Source organism: Homo sapiens, chromosome 18 (genome assembly GCF_000001405.40).
Source record: "Homo sapiens chromosome 18, GRCh38.p14 Primary Assembly".
NCBI lineage: Eukaryota > Metazoa > Chordata > Mammalia > Primates > Hominidae > Homo > Homo sapiens.
The window spans coordinates 56829934-56854217 of NC_000018.10; the positions used below are offsets into that span (position 1 = coordinate 56829934).

Below are 24284 nucleotides of genomic sequence, written 5' to 3' on the forward strand. Positions count from 1 at the left end.
ATTGAAAAGTTAGAAAATAACAACACAGAGTTTTCTAAAGTCAAATGTCCAACAAGTCTTTGTTTTTTAAAAAATGGGGAAAATTGGATCCAAGCAGCTCTAAATTGGTTAGTGTACTGTCCACATATACCGGAAGTCTGCAGCGAATTGTTAAATATGATTTGGGAGCACTTAGAAGAAAAAGTGAGATGCAGTACAGGTGCCCTGAGTTTACCACACTCTTGAATTTTATCACAGTGTTTCAGTTGCGTTGATTTTGTTGCCCTTCATGATCTAAAATAATTTTGATGTTTTGGTGTAAAATGTATACGATTCATCATAAAATGACATTTATACTCTTATGGGTTTTCACCATACACGGCACACAATAGAAGGGGTCATTCTTCTGTTCATGGAAAGCTATTCTTCATGATGAATTTTTTTAAAATTTGGTTTGGCATTACTCACTACTGTCAAACTTGCTCAAGCATCATTGCTAATGCCCTCATTATTTTCTCATGATGAATTTATCAATTGACTTAGGAATTAGGGAAGAGGACTTCTAAAAAATAGGAAAAGATCTGTTAAGAAAATTCCGGCCATACAGCCCAGTTCAGCGTGTCACTAGTAATAATCACCATCATGGTGCTACCTCTAGATCACCTCTGGGCGCTGCACTATACATCTTCGATACTTGTGATACTAAGGGTGTCTGACTCACTCAGATATATTTGTGTGGAAGTTCTGGCAGATGCCCTTAAACAAGTGATCTTTCAGCGGGTCTGGCTTGCTGTCCCAGCACACTTTTTTTTGAGATGGAGTCTCGCTCTGTCGCCCAGGCTGGAGTGCAGTGGCACAATCTCGGCTCACTGCAACCTCTGTCTCCTGGGTTCCAGCGATTCTCCTGCCTCAGCCTCCTGAGTAGCTGGGATTATAAGCACTGTGCCACCATCACAGCTAATTTTTATATTTTTAGTAGAGACGGGGTTTCACCATGTTGGTCAGGCTGGTCTTGAACTCCTGACCTCCTCTAGCACACTTTTTACTGATATGCAGGATGTGGTATTCACTCTGTGCAGCTTAATGGGATATCTGACAGATGACTGCCACTGTAGAAGCATGATCTTCAGTGTAGCCAGACTAAACTTTGTACATCAACCCAGCCTGGGAGAGTCCCTGTAGGAGTTCATGATACACCGGCTGAGCATCTTTGAACTTCAAGGAATTAGCTAGGAAAAAGGGGAGAGTGAAAGAGTTTTCAGAAAGAGTCAAATCCTGGGAGGGAGAGAGAGCAAGAGGTGGTACAGCCATTTGGGAGGAAGAGTAAGTGGTTCCCTGTGAATGTGTATAGAGTGGGAACAGGGTCAGGACTAACAAGAGGGGATGCTAAAGGCAGGCCAGATGATGAAAGGCTCTGTTTGTTGGCTGAGCTGCTTTACTCATATTCAGGGGACTAGCTGGAATGAATAAAGAGTCTAGACCACTCTGACAATAGATGCTGAAAATACTGGGGAATGATGCTGGGGCAAGTCGGGGTAAGCAGTGGTCTAGGTTCCAGCTGGCAGGGGCCCGAACAAAGGTAGCGCAAGTGCTTGAAATGGCATTTGTTTATATTTATTTAAAACATTCTGAAGATGGCCAAATAGGAACAGCTCCCATCTGCAGCTCCCAGCGAGACCAACCCAGAAGGTGGGTGATTTCTGCATTTCGAACTGAGGTACCTGGTTCATCTCACTGAGACTGGTTAGGACAGTGGGTGCAGCCCATGGACAGTGAGCAGAAGCTGGGTGAGGCGTCGTCTCACCCAGGAAACACAAGGGGTTGGGGAACTCCCTCCCCTAACCAAAGGAAGCCCTGAGGGACTGTGCCATGAGGGACAGTGCTGTCCAACCCAGATGCTATGCTTTTCCCATGGTCTTCACAACCTGCAGATCAGGAGATTCCCTCGTGTGCCTACACCACCAGGGCCCTGGGTTTCAAGCACAAAACTGGGTGGCTGTTTGCGCGGACACCAAGCTAGCTGCAGGATTTTTTTTTCTTTCATACCCCAGTGGCACCTGGAACATCAGCACATCAGAACCGTTCACTCCCCTGGAAAGAGGGCTGAAGCCAGGGAGCCGAGTGATCTTGCTCAGCAGTTCCCACCCCGACAGAGCCCAGCAAGCTAAGATCCACAGGCTTGAAATTCTCACTGCCAGCACAGCAGTCTGAGGTTGACCTGGAATGCTTGAGCTTGGTGGGGGCAGGGGTGTCTGCCATTACTGAGGCTTCAGTAGGCGGTTTTCCTCTCACGGTGTAAACAAAGCTTCCGGAAGCTTGGACTGGGCGGAGCCCACCGCAGGGCCACAGAGCCACTGTAGAAAGACTGCCTCTCTAGATTCCTCTTCTCTGGGCAGGGCATCTCTGAAAGAAAAGCAGCAGCCCCACTCAGAGACTTTAGATAAAACTCCCATCTCCTTGGGACAGAGCACCCGGGGAAAGGGGCGGCTGTGGTTGCAGCTTCAGCAGACTTAAACGTTCCAGCCTGCTGGCTCTGAAGAGAGCAGCAGATCTCCCAGCACAGCGCTAGAGCTCTGCTAAGGGACAGACTGCCTCCTCAAGTGGGACCCTGACTCCCGTGCCTCCAGACTGGGAGATACCTCCCAGCAGGGGTCAACAGACACCTCATACAGGAGAGCTCTGGCTGGCATCTGGCAGGTGCCCCTCTGTGACGAAGCTTCCAGAGAAAGGATAAGGCAGCAATGTTTGCTGTTCTGCAGTCTCCACTGGTGATACCTGGGCAAACAGGGTCTGGAGTGGACCTCCAGCAAACTCCAGCAGACCTACAGAAGAGGGGCCTGTTAAAAGGAAAACTAACAAACAGAAAGGAATAGCATCAACATCAACAAAAAGAACACCCACACAAAAACCCCATCTGAAGGTCACCAACAGAAAACACCAAAGTAGATAAATCCATGAAGATGAGGAAAAACCAGCGCAAAAAGGCTGAAAATTCCTAAAACCAGAATGCCTCTTCTCCTCCAAAGGATCACAACTCCTCGCCAGCAAGGGAACAAAACCGGACAGAGAATGAGTTTGACGAAGAGACAGAAGTAGGCTTCAGAAGGTGGGTAATAACAAACTCCTTGAACCTAAAGGAGCGTGTTCTAACCCAATACAAGGAAGCTAAGAACCTTGATAAAAGGTTACAGGAACTGCTAACTAGAATAACCAGTTTAGAGAAGAACATAAACGACCTGATGGAACTGAAAAACACAGCACGAGAACTTCGTGAAGCATACACAAGTATTAGTAGCAGAATTGGTCAAGCGGAAGAAGGCATGTCAGAGATTGAAGATCAACTTAATGAAATAAATTGTGAAGGCAAGATTAGAGAAAAAGGAATGAAAAGGAATGAACAAAGCCTCCAAGAAATATGGGACTATGTGAAAATATGGGACTATGGGACTATGGGAGGAATAGCATTAGGAGAAATACCTAATGTAGATGAGGGGTTGATGTAACCTATGTAACAAACCTGCATGTTCTGCACATGTATCCCAGAACTTAAAGTATAATAAAAAAAATAAAGCATTCTAAATATCTAAAGTCCTCTAGGTTTATAATTAATATAAGCTAATTGGTACCTAGTATTAAATAAAACATTCCAATAAAATGAATGTCTGCGTTACAAACGTCAGTTAAATTGTTGTATAAGTGGGTTTTTATGAATTTGGTGTAGAGAATATTAGTGTCATTCATGTGCCATATAAAAATCTTTTCTTTAACCCCCACCTCATTTTGCTATATAGTTTCTTAAAGTTGGAAAGACTTATTCATAATCTGGTAGCTAGATTTTATATTCTAGACCAATCTTTCCCGTCTCAAAGAATCCTTCATACCACATCACTGAACATAAAGGTTACCGAACTTTTGCTTACACACTGTATTAATTTTCCTATTGCTACATAATAAATTAGCACAAATGTAGTTTAAAATACCCACATTTATTATCTCATAGTTTCCATGGGTTAGGGAATCTGGGTTCAGCTTAGCTATGTCCTCTGCTCTAGGACACAAAAGGCTTCAGTCAAGGCATTAACCATGGCTAAGTCTTATCTGAGGCTTTTGGTCCTCTTCCAATCTCACATTCTTAATGGCACAATTCAGTTCCTTGCAGTTATAGGATTGAGGTCCTCAGCTCCTAGAGGCCATCCTCAGTTCCCTGCCGTGTGGCCCTATCCATAGGCATTTCCCTTCATAACAGCTTGCATCTTTGAAGACAGCACAACAATCTCTCTACTAGGTGCCAGCAAGGTGGAGTTGTATATAGATTGAAACCTAATCATGAGAGTGCTGTACAAAGTAATCTTATTATGGAAGTGGCCTCCCATGACTTTGCTGTCGTCCACTGGTTAGTAGTAAGTCACAGATCCTGCCTTTACTCAAGGCCAAGGGGTGGTATAACGATGTGACTCACTGGGGGTTGGTTACCTTAGAATAGTCTCCCTACATACACACCTATCCAGTTGTGGGGCTCACTGCTTGCAATTTCGTTCCTTCCATATTTTGCTTGTTTTGTTTGTGTGATAGAGCAAGAGATCTCCCTCCTTGTCTTCTCTTTGTCCTTCAACAATATCTCGTGTGACCTGATTTCTAGACCCTTCTCTCTTCCATTTGTATGTACTATGTTTTATCAGTGATATTCCTTAGAAGGTGGTACCCAGAATGGACCATGCCCCCACTAGCAGACCAGTGCAAGTATTACACAACTATTTTCTTCCTTTATCTGGATGGTGTATAATTTTGAAATTAAACTGGTTTACTTTAGAAGGCATCCCACATTTTTGTCTGCTAAAAGTGGAATCGTTTAAAATGTCAGATTTTATATGAAGTGCTATTAATTCAAGTCTTCCCAGTTTAGAAGCAGGGCTTGATATTTGTTCTTTCTGCTTTCCGTCTTATTGGTTTGAGCCCATCATCCAGACTTGGAATCTTTTTCAGTGCATTAGTTATTTCTCCCTGCTTTATGACCTCTGTGAATGTGATGAACAAGCCTTCTGTGTTGTCTGTGTTGACTAGTTAACTGCTGAGCAGGCCCCAGTAAGACTTCTGCAGCACAAGGGTAGGGATCTTCTCTACCTTTTCATCAGCCCTGACGTCACTCTCCAATATGGTTTTTCAACTCAATATAAAGTAACCCTTTTGCAGTGTCTCATTAGCTCAGTGTTTAAGAGGGTATGTTCAAAAGTAGAACAAGGTATACCACACCAAAATATCAATGAAATGTGAGAGTAGAATAGAGACATCTTTAGAATATCAAAAAATGTGCCTCCCTTGTCTTAAGAACTAGTAAAGGATTCACTAATTCTTCATCTTGTTCATAATTCAGATTTATTCATCTTGTTAATAATAATACTCTAATAGATTTCTTCAGATGCTGTACTAAGATCAGAATATGTGCATTAGTGGACAGTGTAGGTCTATAATTTACATTTGTAGTATTGTACCTAACTTATAAGTGTATAAAGGGATTTTAAAACATTCTTGACATGCCTTGAGTTGCAGTAATTTTGGAAATATGCAATTTTTAAATAAGCAACAGCATTAATCATCATCAGGATTTTCAGAGGTCACCTAGAGAGTTATTGCCTGGATTATTGTTGTGGGATAGGGTAGGTATATGTAAGTATCTGGTCAAGGAGATTAGGAAGTTATACATGTCTCAACAGTATGTGAAACTCATTTTGCTCGCTTTGCATCTGCTGTCATTTTTGTGACAAATATTTATTGGTGGAGTATTTATAAGAATGTATAAGTTCTTGATTTAAAACTTATGTCTTATGTTACTAGGTTTTTAAAGTTGACAAAAAGTTATAGTAAAACAGGTAGGTATGAGATTATTCACATACTGTATTAGTTTTAAATATCACTTTAAGAAAAGTTGGTTTGGGATAAAAAATAAAAATTCAGGTTCCTCTGGTATTAAAATTGTGATTCTTCTTGATATTTAGATATTTGCAGTTGACTGTATATGATTCATGAAGTGAGGCACCTGATGTATAAGTGTACTTTATACTTTTCTAAGAATAATTTTCTTTGAATATGAGATGCTTTCTTTAAAGCTTTATGAGTTTAGTTTTAATTTTAAGGAAAATTAAAAGAAAAATGTGAAGATTAATTGAAAGCTTTGTAGTCATGTACAAAGTAGTCATGTAAACTATTTACAATGTTTTGTTGAGTGGTTAGAACCAAACTTACACAGATATTTTCTTATTCTCTTCCAACTGGAGTTCGTTCTTTTTGAAGTAAATGTGGCAGGTGCAGTAAGGCCACTTTCCTCTCATGTCTGGCCAGGATTCACCTAAATTTTGGTGAAGAGTGAAAATATACAACAAACGAAACCGTCTGCCACTCCCAAGCAACCAGCCCCTACCTCACTGTTGCTGACAATGTAGGGCCTCACCAGTCAGCCCCTGGACAGGGCTCCTGCTGGGCCTCATTTCTGAGTTTTAGGGCGGATCCTGTCAGCACATGTTTTGGGATGTGATTCCTTCACCAGCCAGTCACACAGAGATCAAAGACGTTTTTAATTTGCGTTTAACTACTTTTTGAATAGCCATCACCATACTAGCAATTGCTATTGTATATCAGTCAACCCTAGACATGCGTGCTTTTTTGAAATCTGAAACAGACTTAACCTCTCCAAATGCTGAATATGAAAATATTCATTTTCTTGCGTCTATTTTCATCTATTTTCCATAAAATTATCAATAAAAGAAGATAATATGAACACAAAGGATGATTTTATTTTACTTGATTGATGCTTTGTAATGATTTTCATTATTTGAAAGAAGCCTTTCAACTAAAACTTCTAAAAAGATAGTCCATTAGTCAACGGGAATTTTTATATTGGCATATAACTTCAAATTAAAATAATTTAACAGCATTTTCAGTAATACCTTTTTGTCATTTTAATAGGATAATTATTAGTGTATTAATTCTTCTGCATATTTTTACAGTTTAACAAAAATCACTCATTGAATATCTTATATTCAAAGATGACTTCTCAGAGCTGTGACTGATAAACATCTGTCACACAACAAACGTGTAAACAATTTGTCCTTTGTCAAGTTTATGAGCTGACATCTGTTTGAATGACAGATGTCAGTGCAGTTAAGATGCAATTTAATTTGGGAAGGTTAATCTAAAAGTCACTCACATTTTAACCATTTGCATTTGAAAAACAAACGTGACCATTGCTGTCAATATAATTGGCTCTTTCGACGGTGAGAAAGGATGAACACACAAAACTAGCAACTATTCAGATAAAGCTTTTTATGGTTATGACTTGTAAAGAGATCTCAAAATTAGTCATTGTGACCATTTTGTGAGCCATTGTGACCAGTCAGAAGTGTATTGATTAGCAATGGCTGACATTTTCAAAATGGCCGTGTAGAAAAATGTTATTGGATTTATTAATGTTTCTCATCAGCTGTCATCACCAACAAGTTTAAGTAAAAATGTCACAAGCTGAATCTGTTTAATAATTTGCTATTGTAAAATTTTAAACAGGTTTTATTACCTCTAATTTTGATTAGTATATTAAAATGCCACTTTGTCAAATCATTATTAGTGAATTTAAGAAGAAACATAAGGGAAAAATAAGTGAAAACATAGCTTGGGAATTAGTTGAGATATTGAAAGATTTTGATTTATTGAAATGAAATTTATATAACATTAAGCATTTTATAGTGAATAATTTGATGTGTTTTTCTTTTTTTTGAGACGGAGTTTCGCTTTTGTCGCCCAGGTTGGAGTGCAATATGCGTGATCTCGGCTTACTGCAACCTCTGCCTCCTGGGTGCAAGCTATTCTCCTGCCTCAGCCTCCCAAGTAGCTGGATTACAGGTGCCCACCACCATGCCCAGCTAATTTTTGTATTTTTAGTAGAGACGGGGTTTCACCATGTTGGCCAGGCTGGTCTTGAACTTCTGACTTCAGGTGAGCCACCGTGCCCAGCCGATTTGTTTTTAAGAATAGAAGAACATTAAGAGCTGACCTACTACTATTCCATAACTAAGATGGGTACATATCAGTATAAAATGAAGGACTAGTACATTTCTATTTAGACAGAATTCTGAGATATTTACGCATTTACATCTTAACCAGCATTATGAACAAGAATAAGAGTGAAGAGTGTTTCAACAAAAGCACTGCATTATGATGATATATAAAAGACACATCTGGGTTTGTATTATTTAAGTCTAAGCACTCAGCATATGCTAACATTTGTGTGTCATTGTTGCTTTATTATTATTTTTTTTTTGCCTTTTATTTCTTTATACCTGAAAGTATGTTCTTTGATCCTTATTTAAGTTCTTAGACATTTTATGCTAAAGCAGGGATATACAGCTTAGAGAATTTTAGGTTTGTATTCTTTGCTGTTTATTGAACTGTTGACTGATTGTACCAAACTGGATCTCCTGCCCTTGAATAATGCAATAGTTTGAGGAAGTTAAGTATAGTTTTCCTTAACATTTTTGGACATCTGCTGATAGAGTATGGACACAAAATCTTTAGTGACTAAATTTCTACTTCTAAATTTGTACATTTTATATCTATTTAATTTTGATCCTGGGACACCCAAGAATGTGAACGACAAAATTGTTTCCATAGCAGAAAGTTTTAAAAAATTGTTTACTGATTTAATTGTTTGGTACTAATTTTAATTTTGCTGTATATACTCAAAGCTGGGAAAAAGACACAGCCTGTATTTTAAGGTCAGTCATATAGATTCTCATGAACTGGAATTAGAACTGAGTGATGTTTATATGCGATGCTGTATCTTAAGGAGCTTAAGCTAAGTGGGATGTGAATTGTTTTGCGTATTCAATGTGTAGAGCATGTTAATCATCAACATCATTTTTAAGGGTTTGAAATTTCATTAGCTTTAAGTTTTTTTATAATTAGATACAGGATTAAATAGACAAGCTAGAAATATATAAAAAGAAATATGTTAAAGCAAGACTTTTATTACTTTCAAATAAAAACTGTGTATGATTATTTTAAAGATTATTAAGGCTTCTTTGTAATTAGCATACATTTATTCACATAAAAACCTTAACTTATTCACCATTCTCCATATTGTTTATGCTCTATACTTGTGTGTTTAACAAAGCTAAATTAACACAAAAGAAAGCCAGTTTGATTCAGCATAAGTTTTCTCATAATTCATATATTTTTATTGATATATAAATAGTTGTACATATTTTTAGGTACATGTGATATTTTGATACCTGTATACAATGTATAGTTATCAAATCAGGGTCTGCATAAATTATTTGTATTATGGAAATTTGCAAGCACACACAAAATTAAAGAGAATAATATAATGGACGCCCATTTACTAGTTACCTTCTTTAATAGTTGTCAGCATATAGTCAGTCTTGTTTCATCTATTCTTCCCTTCACTAGATTATTTTAAAGCAAACTCCAGATATCATATTATTTTGTCATTAATGTTTCAGTGTGTATCTCTTACTTATAAGACTCAACTTATATGATTAATAAGTTGACTCAACTATGACTCGTCTATAATGTTATTAAAATTATTACTATTCTTTAATATTATCTAACATTAGGTCAGTGAATTGACACAAACTCTATAGTATTAGCCAAGCTATACTAATCTAGGTTCTTCTGTACCAGAAAATCTCATGGGAGAAAAAAATAGTATAAAGCAGAAGACCATGGCAATCAGCCACTTATTTTTGAAGTCGATAGAGTATTTATGGCTTATAATTAGATGTATCTGGTATGATTTTGTCCAGGTGGAATATTTTAAATCATGGGGTGAGCCTATGGAAATATAAAACTGAAAGGACTCAGCCAGGCGTGGTGGCTCACGCCTGTAATCCCAGCATTTTGCAAGGCTGAGGCAGTCAGGTCACGCCGTCAGGTGTTAGAGACCAGCCTGGCCAAAATATTGAAACCTCGTCTCTACTAAAAATACAAAAAATTAGCTGGGCATGGTGGCAGGTGCCTGTAATCCCAGCTACTCGGGAGGCTGAGGCAGGAGAATCTCTTGTACCCAGGAGGCGGATGTTGTGGTGAGCCAAGATCGCGCCACTGCACTCCTGCTCTGACGACAGTGTGAGATTCCATCTCAAAAACAAAACAAAACAACAACAAAAACAAACAAAAAAATAAGCAAAAACACTGAAAGGACTCATGATGGGGAAGGAAGCTATATAACATTTTTATTAGGAGAGGAAGAGGGATTACCCTAAGACAAGGGGGAAAGGGGAGAGATTTTGAGAAGAGTGAGCCATCCGTGACAGTGACTTAGAGGGTTTCTCCAGAGAAATAAATAATTCTAAAATGGAAGAGCAATGGAAAACTATAGAAAATTATGATTGAACCAAAATGATCAAGATATATGAAAGTAAAAAGGAAGAATAAAATATCGTAAAAATCAGAGGCACTGATAATCCAAAAAAGGAAGATAAATATTAATAGAGAATAAATATTCAGTGTTATCAAGTAAAAAGTTTTAAAATAATATCAAACTAAGTACTTAATTAAATTAATACTAACTGAACACTAAGTGTTAAATATTTTTGAGAAACATAAAAGACCATGTTTGACTGGACACAGTGGCTCACTCCTGCAATACCAGCATTTTGGGAGGTCGAGGCAGGTGGATCATTTGAGCCCAGCAGTTTGAGACCAGCCTGGGCAACATGGCAAAACCCTATCTCTACAAAAAATACAAAAGATTAGCTGGTAGTGGCGTGTGCTGGTAGTCCCAGCTACTCTGGAGGCTACAGTGAGAAGATCATCTGAACCCGAGAGGTTGAGGCTACAGTAAGCTGTGATTGCATCACTGTACTCCAGCCTGGATGATAGAGTGAGATCTTGTCTCAAAAAAAAGAAAAAAAAAAGACCCCATTTCCCACATTTCTACAATTTTGTTATAAAATATGCATGTTAGTAAACTATAAAATGGAAAAGGGCTGGGCATGATGGCTCATGCCTGTAATCCCAGCACTTTGAGGGGCCAAGACAGGGGGGATCACATGAGGTCACAAGTTTGAGACCAGCCTGGCCAACATGGTAAAATCCCATCTCTACTAAAAATACAAAAAAATTAGCTAGGCTTGGTGGTGGGCACCTGTAATCCCAGCTACTCGGGAGGCTGAGGCATGAGAATCACTTGAACCTGGGAGGTAAACGTTACAGTGAGCTGAGATCGCACCACCGCACTCCAGCCTGGGTGACAGAGTGAGACTCCATCTCAAATAAATAAATAATATAAAATAACATAGAAAAGTTGTCGTAATTTACAATTAGAAATAAAGGGAATGGCTGGGCGCGGTGGCCCACACCTGTAATCCCAGCATTTTGGGAGGCTGAGGCAGGCAGATCAGTTGAGAATAGGAGTTTGAGACCAGCCTGGCCAACACGGTGAAACCCAATTTCAACTAAAAACAGAAAAAAATTAGCTGGGCGTGGTAGTGTGTGCCTATAATCGCAGCTACTTGGGAGGCTGCTTGGGAGGAGAATTGCTTGAACCTGGGAGGTGGAGGTTGCAGTGAGCCAAGATCACGCCACTGCACTCCAGCCTGGACGACAGAGTGAGACTCTGTCTAAAAAAAAAAAAAAAAGATACAACAATGGGGATGTTTTGTCATGTACGTAATGTAGATTGATGGGCCCTAATAGAAAACGTAAATTTAAAAATATTTTTCCACCACAAGTTACATAACTCTGTTGAATTACTATTACCACACTGATGTTTATGTAGATTTTGTTACTTTATAGCAAGAGTCATTTGAGGTACACAGCTGATTGGATCTATTCTTGACATTTTTAACAGTTGGAAAGAGTGTAATGTCATGGTTAACAGTACAGACTCCAGAGTTAGGATGCTGGGGTTGAATCTTGGATTTTTACATTTCTCTGTATGTGTGCATGCAGAGATGGAAGGATAATATAACTTTTCCTACTTTTTTAATAAAAATGTTTTATGTTACAGATTCAGTAATCAGATATGCTTCTACAATTAAATGTTGAAATACTGATTACTCACCTCTTTTTCAGGAGCCTAGATTATGGAAGGAACATATCATACTCAATGCTTTTCATTTCTTGTGAAACAGTTATTTTCCCTCACTGCTTCATCTTCCCTGACCCCCACGCTAGTCATCATCAACATATTTGTTTTCATTTTAACATTTAGTTGAAACCTATCTTAGTCCCTTTTGTGTTGCTGTAACTGAATACCTGAGACTGGGTAATTTATAAAGAATAGAGACTTATTTCTTGGTTCTGGAGGCTAGGTCAAGGGGTCTGCATCTGGTGAGGGCCTTCTTGCTACATCATTCCTTCAGAAGGCGGAAGAGCAAGAGAGTTCCCCTGTGTGCATGTAAGGGTCGGGGGAGGGGGACCAAATCATCCTTTTTTCAGGAACCAACTCTCAATAACAGCATTAGTCCGTTCACTAAGGCAGTGCTCTTATGATCTAATCATCTCTTAAAGGTCCCACACTTCTCAACACTGTTGCATTGGGGATTAAGTACATTTCAAACAATAGCAAGGACTGACGCCATGTTGCAAGGTTTGATATTACAGTAAACAGAAAGGTATAAGGTTGTTCCCTGATTCTAAGCACTTGACAGTCTATTGTATAGGAGACTGTAAGTAAAGGATTCGTAGTACTTCGGTATAGCCTATTCAAAATTCCCATTGAAGTATGCTAAATATAACATCCTTTTAGTGTTTTATTCATGTTTTCTCTCTTACACACACACACACAGTGATCAATGGCAAATGCACATAGGAAACTACTAAATTACCGTGGAAGTATTTTAACGTTTTAGAAAAACTTTATTTGAAGATTTTTGATAGCTTTTAATTTGGTTATATACTTTTAGCTTTAGAGCCATACTGTCAGAATTTTGGGGAGAGAAGAGACATTGCAGACCAAAACAGTGACACATTTATGTGCTACTAGAAAATTACAGACATTTTACACCAAAAAAGAATTAACCTGCTGCCTATTGCTTCTCTTTTTTTTTGGCATTTGATGTTGTTGCTGTAAGACTATTAATTTTAAACTAGTGCTATAAGCAGCTGGAAGCTTTGATTCTGGTGATTCATCCCGTTACCTCTGAACAGATGAAAAGAAGTAAATGAATTTTGATGTTGAAAGTCCCCTTTCTTACAAAAATCCATTAATGATGTTAATTAAATGAATATTTGCCTCTTTCAGCTGTCTAGCTATTGAAAATTGGGCATTAGATCACTTTTTTAAACTGTGAAAGTTTCTTTATTGTGCCATTTAAATTATTTTTAAGTGGCCAAATCAGCGGTGTTAAGTATGTACACATTGTTGTTCAGCCATCACCACCAATCGTTCTCCGAAACTTTTTCATCTTCTCAAAGTGAAACCTTATACCCATTGAATGCTAACTTCCCATTCTTTCCTGCCTCCATCCTCTGTCAACCACTGTTCTGCTTTCTGTCTCTATGAATTTGGCTAATGTAGGTAGTTCATATAAGTGGAATCAAATAAGTGTCTGGCTTATTTCACTTAGCATAGTGGCTTTAAGGTTTATCCATGTTAGAGCTTGTGTCAGGAGCTTACAATTGTGTTGATCCATTCAACAGAGTGGATCTGTCATTCTACAGACACTTGGGTTTCTTCTATCTTTTGGCGACTGTGAATAATGCTGCTATGAATATTGATATAGAACTATCTGTTCAAGTCCCTGCTTTCAGTTATTTTAGGTACACAGGATTGGATTTGTTGTAATACATGGTCATTCTATCTTTAATATTTTGAGGAACTGTCATACTGTTTTCTACAGTGGCTGTACCATTTTACATTCCTACTAGCGGTGCATTATAGTCTCAGTTTCTCCACATCCTCATCAACACTCGATATTTTCTTTTTTCTTTCTTTTTTTTTTTTTTTTGTTTTTTGAGATGGAGTCTCGCTGTGTTGCCCAGGTTGGAGTGCAGTGGTACAATCTTGGTTCACTGCAACGTCTGCCTCCCAGGTTCAAGCAATTGTCCTGCCTCAGCCTCCTGAGTAGCTGGGATTATAGGCATACACCACCACGCCTGGCTAATTTTTGTATTTTTAGTAGAGATGGGGCTTCACCATGTTGGTCAGGCTGGTCTCGAAATCTTGACCTTGTGATCTGCCTGCCTCGTCCTCCCAAAGTGCTAGGATTACAGGCATGAGCCACCACACTCAATCTATTTTTTTTTTTTTAAATAATAGCAATCCTAATGAGCGTGAAGTGTGAAGTTATATAGGTATCTCATTGTGATTTTGATTTGAATTTCCCTAATGATTAGTGATGCTGAGGCAAAAGAACATTATAATAATTATTGACCATTACTTTAACTTTTTAAAAAATAGATACATCATTTCTGATGCTTATGTTCAGTGTCCTATTATTAGAATAAATTTTTCCTCATTGGTATACAATTTCTCAACTTCATTTATATGAGAGTGGCTTTTAAAATGATCCATGGTGTTTATTGTGTTACACCCTACTAAGGACAGTCACAAAAAGATTAGACTCTAAATTGAAATAAAATTGTTATTCTTTTCACATGTAGTTTAGAGAATATAATTTTGGGCTATACTTTTGAGCTTAAGCTTTTAATTCATTGCTTTAAATTTTAAATGCTTATGGTAAGAGAATAAAGAGCTACCGCTCTGCAGCCATAGAGAAACCTTACATTCAACAAGGTTCAAACAAGGCCTTACAAGGCTAAAGGCTACTGTTCACTAGAAATGAATGATTTATCAGAGGGGAAATATGCACACATAGGTTGGTAGAGATAATGAGAACTGAGGAACTAGCAAGGCTTAAAATTGTCCTGCTAGTTATATTGATTTAAAGACTCTTTCCTGGTATAGTAGTTCCTCCTTATCTGCAGTTTCAGTTACTCATGGTACAATACAGTAAGATATTTAGAGAGAGAGACCACATTCATATAATTATTACAGTATATTATAATTGTAGTATTTTATCATTAGTTATTGTTAATGCCATTCTGTGCCTAATTTATAAGTTAAACTTTATCATATGTATGTATAGGGAAAAAACATATATAGGATTTGGTGCTATCTGAGGTTTCAAGTATCCACTGGGGTACTTGGAATATATCTCCTATGGATAACCAGGGGCTACTGTATATTTTCCTCTTGTATAGATACAATGATTTGGTTGGAATGAATTGATCTGATATGTCCCACTCTATGCAGTTATGTTAAGTATTTACAAAAAGGGATCTTTACTAACCAAAAGATTTTCTCTTTTAATAATACCTTACTTGGTTGTATATGAAAAGTTGCAAAGCTCTGTAGTGTTTCTATGCATAAAACTTACTTTATTTTTGGTATTTTGAGTATTTTTTAATTTTTCTATAATATGTTATTTTTTAGGAAATAATAAGATCTATGTAAATGTATTTGTATTTTAAATATCTTTTCCACAGATTTGTAATAGAATTTATAAAAAGTAAATGAGTAATATTTCTGGAGATTATAAATCTCTGTTTACTAATAATGTAGTTTACGGGGAGTAGAAATACAGCGTTTTTCATGGAATCCTAACATTCCATCACTGTTACATTTAGCAGATATATTAAAATTATGGTTTAAATTATTTAGTTGGTAATTTCCAATTTAAAATGGACAAAACTCATTTTCTTGTGAATCCTATCTACATTCCATTGCTGTTGTATTTAGCAGCTCTATTAAAATCATGATTCAAATTATTAGCTGGTAATCTCCAATTTAAAATGGATTAGCTTCATTTTCATGTGTCTTCATGTATTTATAATTCAGTATTAGATATAAGTTTCTTTCTAAAAAACTGCATATATGTACTTTAAAACAAGAATCGACAAAGAAACAATTGTTTTATTATTAGTCCTACTAAAATTGAAATTTGCTTGAAAAAATGTTATTATGCTATGTTTTTAAAAGTTGGTAACCTGAAATAATTAAATAAGATTATGTATTTAATAGCCTGCCCTCAACACTTACGCATTTTTAGTGAACATTGCTTTTTATAAAAATATAAAATGTTCTCTTCCCACGTTCTTTATTGAGAGACTAGTTTGTGCCAGGTACTGTGGAGCATACAAATAGACATGAAATCATTGATATATTGTGACAAGGCAGAATATTGACTAACAAAAATACTTTTATTTTCTAAAGAGATTATGTGATAAGGTTTGGATATTTGTCTCCTCCAAATCTCATGTTGAAATGTGACCCTCCATTGTTGGAGGTGGGCCTACTGGGAGGTGTTTGGGTCATGGGGATGGATCCCTTATTAATGGTGGTATGGTTTGGCTGTGTCCCCACTCAAATCTCAACTTGAATTGTATCTCCCAGAATTCCCACATAATGTGGGAAGGACCCAGGGGGAGGTAATTGGATCAGGGGTGCCAGTCTTTCCCTACTATCCTCATGGTAGTGAATAAGTCTCACGAGATCCCATGGGTTTATCAGGGGTTCCCACTTTTGCTTTTTCCTTATTTTTCACTTGCTGCCACCATGTAAAAAGTCCCTTTCACTTCCCTCCATGATTCTGAGGCCTCCCCAGCCATGTGGAACTATAAGTCCAATTGAACCTCTTTTTGTTCCCAGTTTCAAGTAATCTTTACCAGTAGCATGAAAACGGACTAATACAAATGGCTTGGTGCCATCTCGATGGTAATGAGTGAGTTCTCATTCTGGTAGTTCATGTGAGAGCTGGCTGTTTTAAAAAAGTCTGGGACCTTTTTCTTCTCTCTCTTGCTCCCTCTGTTGCCAAGTGATGCACCTGCTCCTCCTTCACCTTCTGCCATGATTGTAAGTTTCCTGAGGCTCTCACCAGAAGCAGATGTGGACACCACATTTCCTATACAGCCTGCAGAGCCATGAGCCAAATTAAGCTTCTTTTCTTTATAAATTAGCCAGCCTTGGGTATTTCTTTATAACAACGCAAAAATGGACTAACATAGAAAATTGGTACTGAGGAATGGGGCATTGCTTTAAATATACCTGAAGATGTGGAAGCAGCTTTGGAACTGGGTAACAGGCAGACGTTGGAAGCATTTGGAGGGCTCAGAAGAAGACAGAAGATATGAGGGGAAGTTGGGAATTCCTAAGAGACTTTTTAAGTGGTTGTGACCAAAATACTCACAGAAATATGGACAGTAAAGGCTACACTGATGAGATCTCAGATGAAAACATGAAAGTTATTGGGAATTAGAGTAAAGGTTACCCTTGTTACACCCTAGCAAAGAACTTGGTTACATTGTGTCCAGACCCTAAGGCCCTGTGGAAGTTTGAACTTAAGAATGGTAATTTAGAGTATTTGGCCAAAGAAATGTCTAAGTTGCAAGACATTCAAATAGTGGCCTGGCTGCTTCTAACAGCCTGTGATTAGATTCAGGAACAAATAAGTGACTTAAAGTTGGAACTTATTTAAAAGGAAATCAGAGTATAAAAGTTTGGAAAATTTTCAAGCTAGCCATGTGGCAGAGAAAGAATATTTTCGGGGGAGGAATACAAGCAGACTGTGGAGCAACCACTTGCTAGAGAGGTTAGTGTGACTAAAAGGGAGCCAAGTGCTAATATCCAAGACAATGGGAAAAAGGCCTTGAAGGCATTTCAGAAGTCTTCAAGGCAGCCCCTCCCATCAAAGACCTAGCGACCTAGAAGGAAAGAATGGCTTTGAGGGCCAAGCTCAAGGCCCTGTTTTCCTGCTTAGCCTCATGACAGTTCTCCCCATATCCCAGCCACGCCAGCTCCAGCTGTGGTTCAGGTGCTCAGGTACAACTCAGGCCATCATTCCAGAGGGCGAAAGCTATAAGCCTTGGTGGCTTCCACATCGTGTTAAGCTTGCAGGTGAACAGAATGCAAGAGTCAAGGAGACTTGAAAGATTCCCCCTAGATTTCAGAGGATGTATTGGAAACTCTGGGAGCCCAGGCAGAAGCCTGCCACGGGGCACAGTCCCTGCAGGAAACCTCTGCTTAGGCACTACAGAGGAGAAATGTGGGGTTGGAGCACTGCCTAGTGGAGCTGTAGGAAAGGGGCCACCACTGTCCAGACCTCAGAATGGTAGATCCATTGGCAGCATACACCCTGAGCCTGGAAATCCACAGGCAGTCAGCTCCAACCTGCGAGAGTAGCCACAGAGGCTGCACCTTGCAAAACCACTAGGATGGGCCTTGCGAGCCTACCCCTTGCACAGTGTGTCCTGGATGTGGGGCATGGAGTCAAATATTATTCTGGAGCTTTAAGATGTAATGACTGTTCTGCTGGGTTTCAGACTTGCATGGGGCCTATTGCCACTTTGTTCTGGCCAATTTCTTCCTTTTGGAATGGGAATGTTTACCTTATGCCTGTAGCACCATTCTCTCTTAGAAGTAAATAACTGATTTTTTATTTCACAGGCTCATAGGTAGAAGGAACTTGGCTTGAGTTTCAGATCAGACTTTGGTCTTTGGGACTTTTGAGTTAATGCTGGAACGAGTTAAGACTTTAGAGGACCATTGGGAAGGCATGACTGTATTTTGCAATGTGAGAAGGACATAAGATTAGGGGGCCAGGGATGGAATGATATGATATGGATTTCTGTCTCCAAATTTCTTGTTGAAATGTAATCCCCAGTGTTATAGGTGGGTCCTGGTGGGAGGTGCTTGAGTCATGGGGGTGGATCCCTCATGAATGGCTTGGTACCCTCCTCATGGTTATGAGTGAATTCTGGCTCTGAGTTCATGTGAGAGCTGATTGTTTAAAGAGCCTGGCACCTCCCCCCACCTCCTTGCTCGCTCTTTCTCTCTCACCATGTAATATGCCTGCACCTGCTTCACCTTCTGCCATGAGTAAAAGCTCCCTGAGGCCTCCCCAAAAGCCAAGAAGATGCTGGCACCATACTTCCTGTACAGCTTGCAATACTGTGAGCCTATTAAATCTCTTTTCTTCATAAATTACCCAGCCTCAGGTATTTCTTTATAGCAATGCCAAAATGGAATAATACACTATCTTAACTTTTCCCACTTACTAAATAATTAAATGTTCCCTCTTACAGTTTCCAAGCTTCGTGGCTCTTTCCTTCTAAATCAGACTTATATATCAACTTTTAAAATTGCAATGTCTTCTCTTAACCCAGTGTACCCTTCATCTATCTCCTTATCTCTCTCTCCTTCACAGCTGATACATATGCTTCTTCTTTAGCCATTCATTCCTTCTAACCTTGTGTAATCTGGTCTTCTGCCTGAGATTCCATTTTACAAACCCTTATCAGGATCACTAGTGACCTAGAGTTTAGTTCTACTCTATTTTGTGACTAAATTAGGACTCCTTGGCTCTTCTGACTACTTTTAAACAGAAGCTTTCCTTTACTCCCAGGACATGGTTCTTTTGCATTCCTTATTCCTCCTCTGTTTCTTGTAGTGATTTCTCTTTTGCTGCTCATTTCTTAAAAGGCAATATTCCAAGGGATTTAATTTTTTGTCCTTTTCTAAGCTTCCTTGTGTCCAACCACTTGTGATTACTGATTGCTACTAAATCTTTAGCCCAGTTCTGGGGTCATCAATTCCCATTGTCTCTTTCTGCTTTCAAAATAATCACCTAATTCTACATTTTCCACTTTTCTTCAACTCCAGGATTACCATCCTAGTTGACATCACTTTGATTTGTAGTCTCTGATGTTCTTGTGGCTGCTCTTGTCTTCCTATAGACCATTTGCTACACAGAGTGATTCTTTAAAAACGTAAATCAGATCATTCAAATCATGTCACTTTCTGCTTAAAACTTTCCAATAGCTTTTTTAAAACAAAACAAAACAAAACAAAACAAAAAACAAGATGAAGTCTCACTGTGTTGCCTAGGCTGACCTCAAACTCCTGGGCCTGAGTAGCTGGGACTACAGGTGCATGCCATTATGCCTGGCCCTGTAACTTTTTATCCCACCTGAGACTAAGACTTGGACTTGCTACTATTGACGACATGGTCTTATGTATGATCTGCTCCTGTGTGCCTCCATCCCTTCACATTCACCATGACACAGACACATTTGCCTTTTTTTTGTTTCATGAATGTGGCCTTCATGAATGTGGCCAAGTCTGTTCCAGTTTTAGGAGCTTGACACTGTTTCCTCTTTCCCAGAACTTCACAAGGCTGGCTGATGATTGAGTCTGAGCTCAGGTGCCAGTTCTTTCACATAGCCTTCCCAGATTGCCCAATCTAAAGTACCCCTTCCCCTTCTAGTCACTTTCTCTGGTACATAATTCAGTTTTATTTTCCTTATAAAATGTGTAACAGTCTAAAATTATTTTTTTTATTTATTTGTTTACTTCTTTATGTTCTGGATGTAAATGCTGTAAAGCAGGACCAGGTTTCATTGTTGATCATGGCTGTGTAACCCCATTCCATATAGCAGCACCTGAAAACTGGTAGGTGTTCAATAAATATTGGTTAGATGATTGAATAAATTGATATTCCAGTTGCCTATTTGCCATGTATACGTAGATTATTCTAAAATGCAGTGTTTTGAAAACTGAACTGACCTTCATTATTTATTTATGTTTCTATATTTATTTATTTATAGAGATAGAATCTCCCTCTTTTACCCAGGCTAGAGTACAGTGGCCTGATCATGGCCCACTGCAGCCTCAACCTCCTGTGTTCAAGCAATCCTCTTGCCTTAGCCTCCTGAGTAGCTGGCACTGCAGGCACATACCACTATACTTGACTAACTTTTTTATTATTGTTTATAGAGATAGGGTTTTGCTCTGTTGCCTAGGTTGGTCTTGAACTCCTGGCCTCAAGCAGTCCTCCTGCCTCAGCCTCCCAAAGTGCTGAGATTACAGGTGTGAGCCATTGTGCCTAGCTTGAACTGACTCTTCTAAGCACCAACCAGCTTCCTTGACCTATGTTTCTTCTCTTGTTCTAGGATACCACCATTCACTGTTTATTCCAGCCAGAATCCTGGGAATTATCCTTAATTCCTGCTTCCTCACTGCTCCCAAATCTAGTTTATTGTCATATGTTGTTGGTTCTCTCTATTAAATTTCTGCTCTCCATTCCTGCAGCCCATTCTGTTTAACCACTTCAGGGTTCTATTGTTGCTTATGATGTAGCCATAACCTGTTCAAATCCTCCCTGCTGCCAAAATGATCTCTATAAAATATAAATACTATCACTGTTACTCCCCTGCTTAAAATTCTTCAGGGCGTCCTTTATGCCTTTGTAGTAAAATTAAAAATTTTCTAGGACCTTCATGATATGACCCTCTGGCTTCATTTCTCAGCCTCTGACTTTCTCTGTGGTTAGTTCTCCAAACATGTCTTAGTCTTTCATTCTTCCATGCCTGTTCACATGCTTTCCTCTTTGAAACATTCTTCTCCAACGCTGTTCCCACCCTATATCACCCAACTATCTCCTACTCATCTCACGACACTCAGCTCTTACATCTTTTCTGAAACGATTTTCCTGTCCCTAGAGCACGCTCTCGGCTAGACTGGCTGTCACTGGTATTTGCTTTGCCTCCAGCTTAGCTTAGTTTAACATATAATATATCATACTTGTCTCTTTACTTGTTCATCTTCCTTTCTAGATTTTGATCTCATTGCATTTTGATGACCTACCAAAGCACCCAGCCCACAGCTGCTCAACAATTGTTTGTTGCCTGATTTAACATTGACCTAGACCAAGATTTCTGAACTTGATCCTTCATGATGTCCCTAAATGCCTGTAATGTCATACAAAATGTCAGGGTTATGAATGATTTCTCTGGAGACACAGTTCATATTAAGATTCTTAATCTTTCTTCAATAACTTGAAGAATCACCAATGTGGTCTTTTGGTACAGTATTAAAGTTTAACATATTTTGAATTATATAGGTGCCTTCCCCCACCTTCTTGCTCATTGTTAGCACATATAGCTTAATTTAGAAAATGCTTATAAAGTATGGCTTTCCTCTTGTTTGGGAAAATTTGAGCAGTTGGGCTCACTTTGGTAGATAGTGCTGTTGAAAGGCTATAGTTTCAGTTCCTGTTATTGTCATCTTCACAGAGAAAATGACCCTCTGGCTTCATTTCTCAGCCTCTGACCTTCTCTGCTGTTAGTTCTCCAAACATGTCTTAGTCTTTCATTCCTCCATGCCTGTTCACTTGCTTTCCTCCTTGAAACATTCTTCTCCAACCCTGTTCCCACCCTGTATCACCCAGCTATAGAAAAACGTGTTTTAAGGCCATAAATTCTGTCTCTAGATAATATTCAGACAGATATCTCAGTAGCTGGACCTTCTTACTACCTGGGTGCAGAAATTCACTGAGTTTTGTCCGGGGGCTCAGTTGTTGAGAAAGGAAGCCAAAGGAAACTTGATCTTTATGGCGTGATTTGGAATTAGCTTCTGCTTTTATCAGAATTATGAGTGTGAAGTTCTGTCATATAATGATATCAGAACAACCTAGTTCATTCCCAGACAGGCAGAAAAAGAATTTTTGTCCTCTGTCTCGTATTTTGAATTGTGGAATAAAAATGGATTTTATCTGGCTATATCATGTAAGAAAGCATCCAGAGTACATCCTTTCTAGTATATAGCAATTATTGGTTTAGTGCCTGTCTTAGAAATTTACTATGTTTTAATATTCACTCAAATATCAAGCAATTAATGATTAATTTTCATATTGTCAGAATACTCAAACTTTTAAGCTGTTCTGGGGCCACGTTAGTATAAAGGCTAAACCTAATTTCTAGCATATTTAATGTAGTTATTAAATGTAAAAAAACAAGCACATACATATATATACATACACATATATGGATAAATGGACTAGAAGATTTAGATTGCTGAATATCTGTGGATATTTACATTCATTTGAAATAAAAATATATACATACTTACTGATGAACTGATGGCTCCAACTAAATAGGTACTTCAGCATGTTTTAAAATATTCTTTAAGTGTTCTACTCTTTGAAATTTTACTGAGTGTTAACATGTTTGCAGGTTCTGTAATAACATTCAGTTACCATAGGCACACATGCAAATAGATTTAGGTTTATTGAATCATTAGTAAACTTGAAAACATTATTTATTGTTTAAGAGGAAATGAAGGATTCAGGCAAAATACGAAAAATATCTTGAAGATTTTGTGTGTATGTGTGTACAGCTTTAAAACTTAAAAATTAGAGAAGTAATATGAATTACTTTGCAGAAACTTTAGAAAACAGAAAAGGTAAAGAAATATGAAACACCACCATCTCAAAACAGTAACTGTTAACATAGTGATGACTTTCTTCCAGTCCTCTTTTCTATGCATTTTGAAAATTCTTATAGGGAATTTTATAGGGAAAATTGTGCGATTTTGTGTCCTAGTGTTTTATTCCCTCACTTAGTCGTATATCATAAACATTGTTCTTAACCTTTGTTTTAATGGTTTAAAAGACTGTGTGCAGTATATACAAATAATTTGCCTTTTCATTTCCCAGTTATCTTACAGGCTGTTTCCTTTATTTAATGCAGACTGCCAACCAACCACACACCCAAACATCTTTGATTCATTAAATTAAAGGTCTTGTTTTATTTTCTAATTTTAAATATATTTCGTTTAATCAGTCAGTCACCTAATTTTAACTACCAGAGACCCGAACCCCTACCCAAACCAAGAACTAGAATATGGCCAGTCTTATATCTTCATGTGTGTTCTTGTCTTGTTACATTCCCTGTCTGCTTCTAGAGGTAACCACTCTTTTGAATTTTGTGAATGTTGTTCACCTGTTTTTTGTTGTTTATTTGTTTTGTCTCATATATTGGTATGCCTAAACAATATATTGCTTGGTTTCACCCATTTTAAGCTTAAAAAAGGTATTGCAGTATATATAATCCATTAGTACTTTCTTCCTCTTAACATTGTATTACAAAGATTCATTAGTTTTGTTATGTGTAGCTGTAGTTGTCATTTTTATGACTTATTAATAATAAATAGAAAAAGTCACAATTTACCCAGTAAACACTTGGGTTATTAGTATTTTTTGTTTCATTTTACTTTTACAAACAATGTTGTTATGAACATCTGATTCATGTCTTCTGTACACATACATATAATTTTCTCTTGAGTAGTGAGTGGAAAAAACTGGTTTTCCTTTGTTCTCACACCACTGCAGTCGGCACAGAAGCCTTCTTTGACTAAATGTACGGGGATTTCTCCCCTCCAGCAAGCAAACAATCAGTTCCGCAGTGGCCAGCAGCTGGTGTCCTCCAATTCAGTCCTCACACTGTCTGCCGGGACA

At 38.2% G+C, this 24284-nt stretch overlaps 1 protein-coding gene across 11 annotated transcripts in view, besides 1 other annotated feature; it reads left to right on the plus strand.

The window, feature by feature from the left end:
• WDR7 (WD repeat domain 7) overlaps positions 1–24284 on the plus strand; it is a 385248-nt gene that overhangs the window by 178575 nt on the left and 182389 nt on the right. The gene's annotated exons all lie outside the window — the stretch shown is intronic.
• Positions 6324–6825: an enhancer, noted in NCBI's record as "NANOG hESC enhancer chr18:54503488-54503989 (GRCh37/hg19 assembly coordinates)". NCBI's record gives its function as "activates a minimal SCP1, AML or CMV promoter by ChIP-STARR-seq in primed H9 embryonic stem cells {active_cell/tissue: H9 hESC(primed)}" and the evidence as "EXISTENCE:reporter gene assay evidence [ECO:0000049][PMID:30033119]".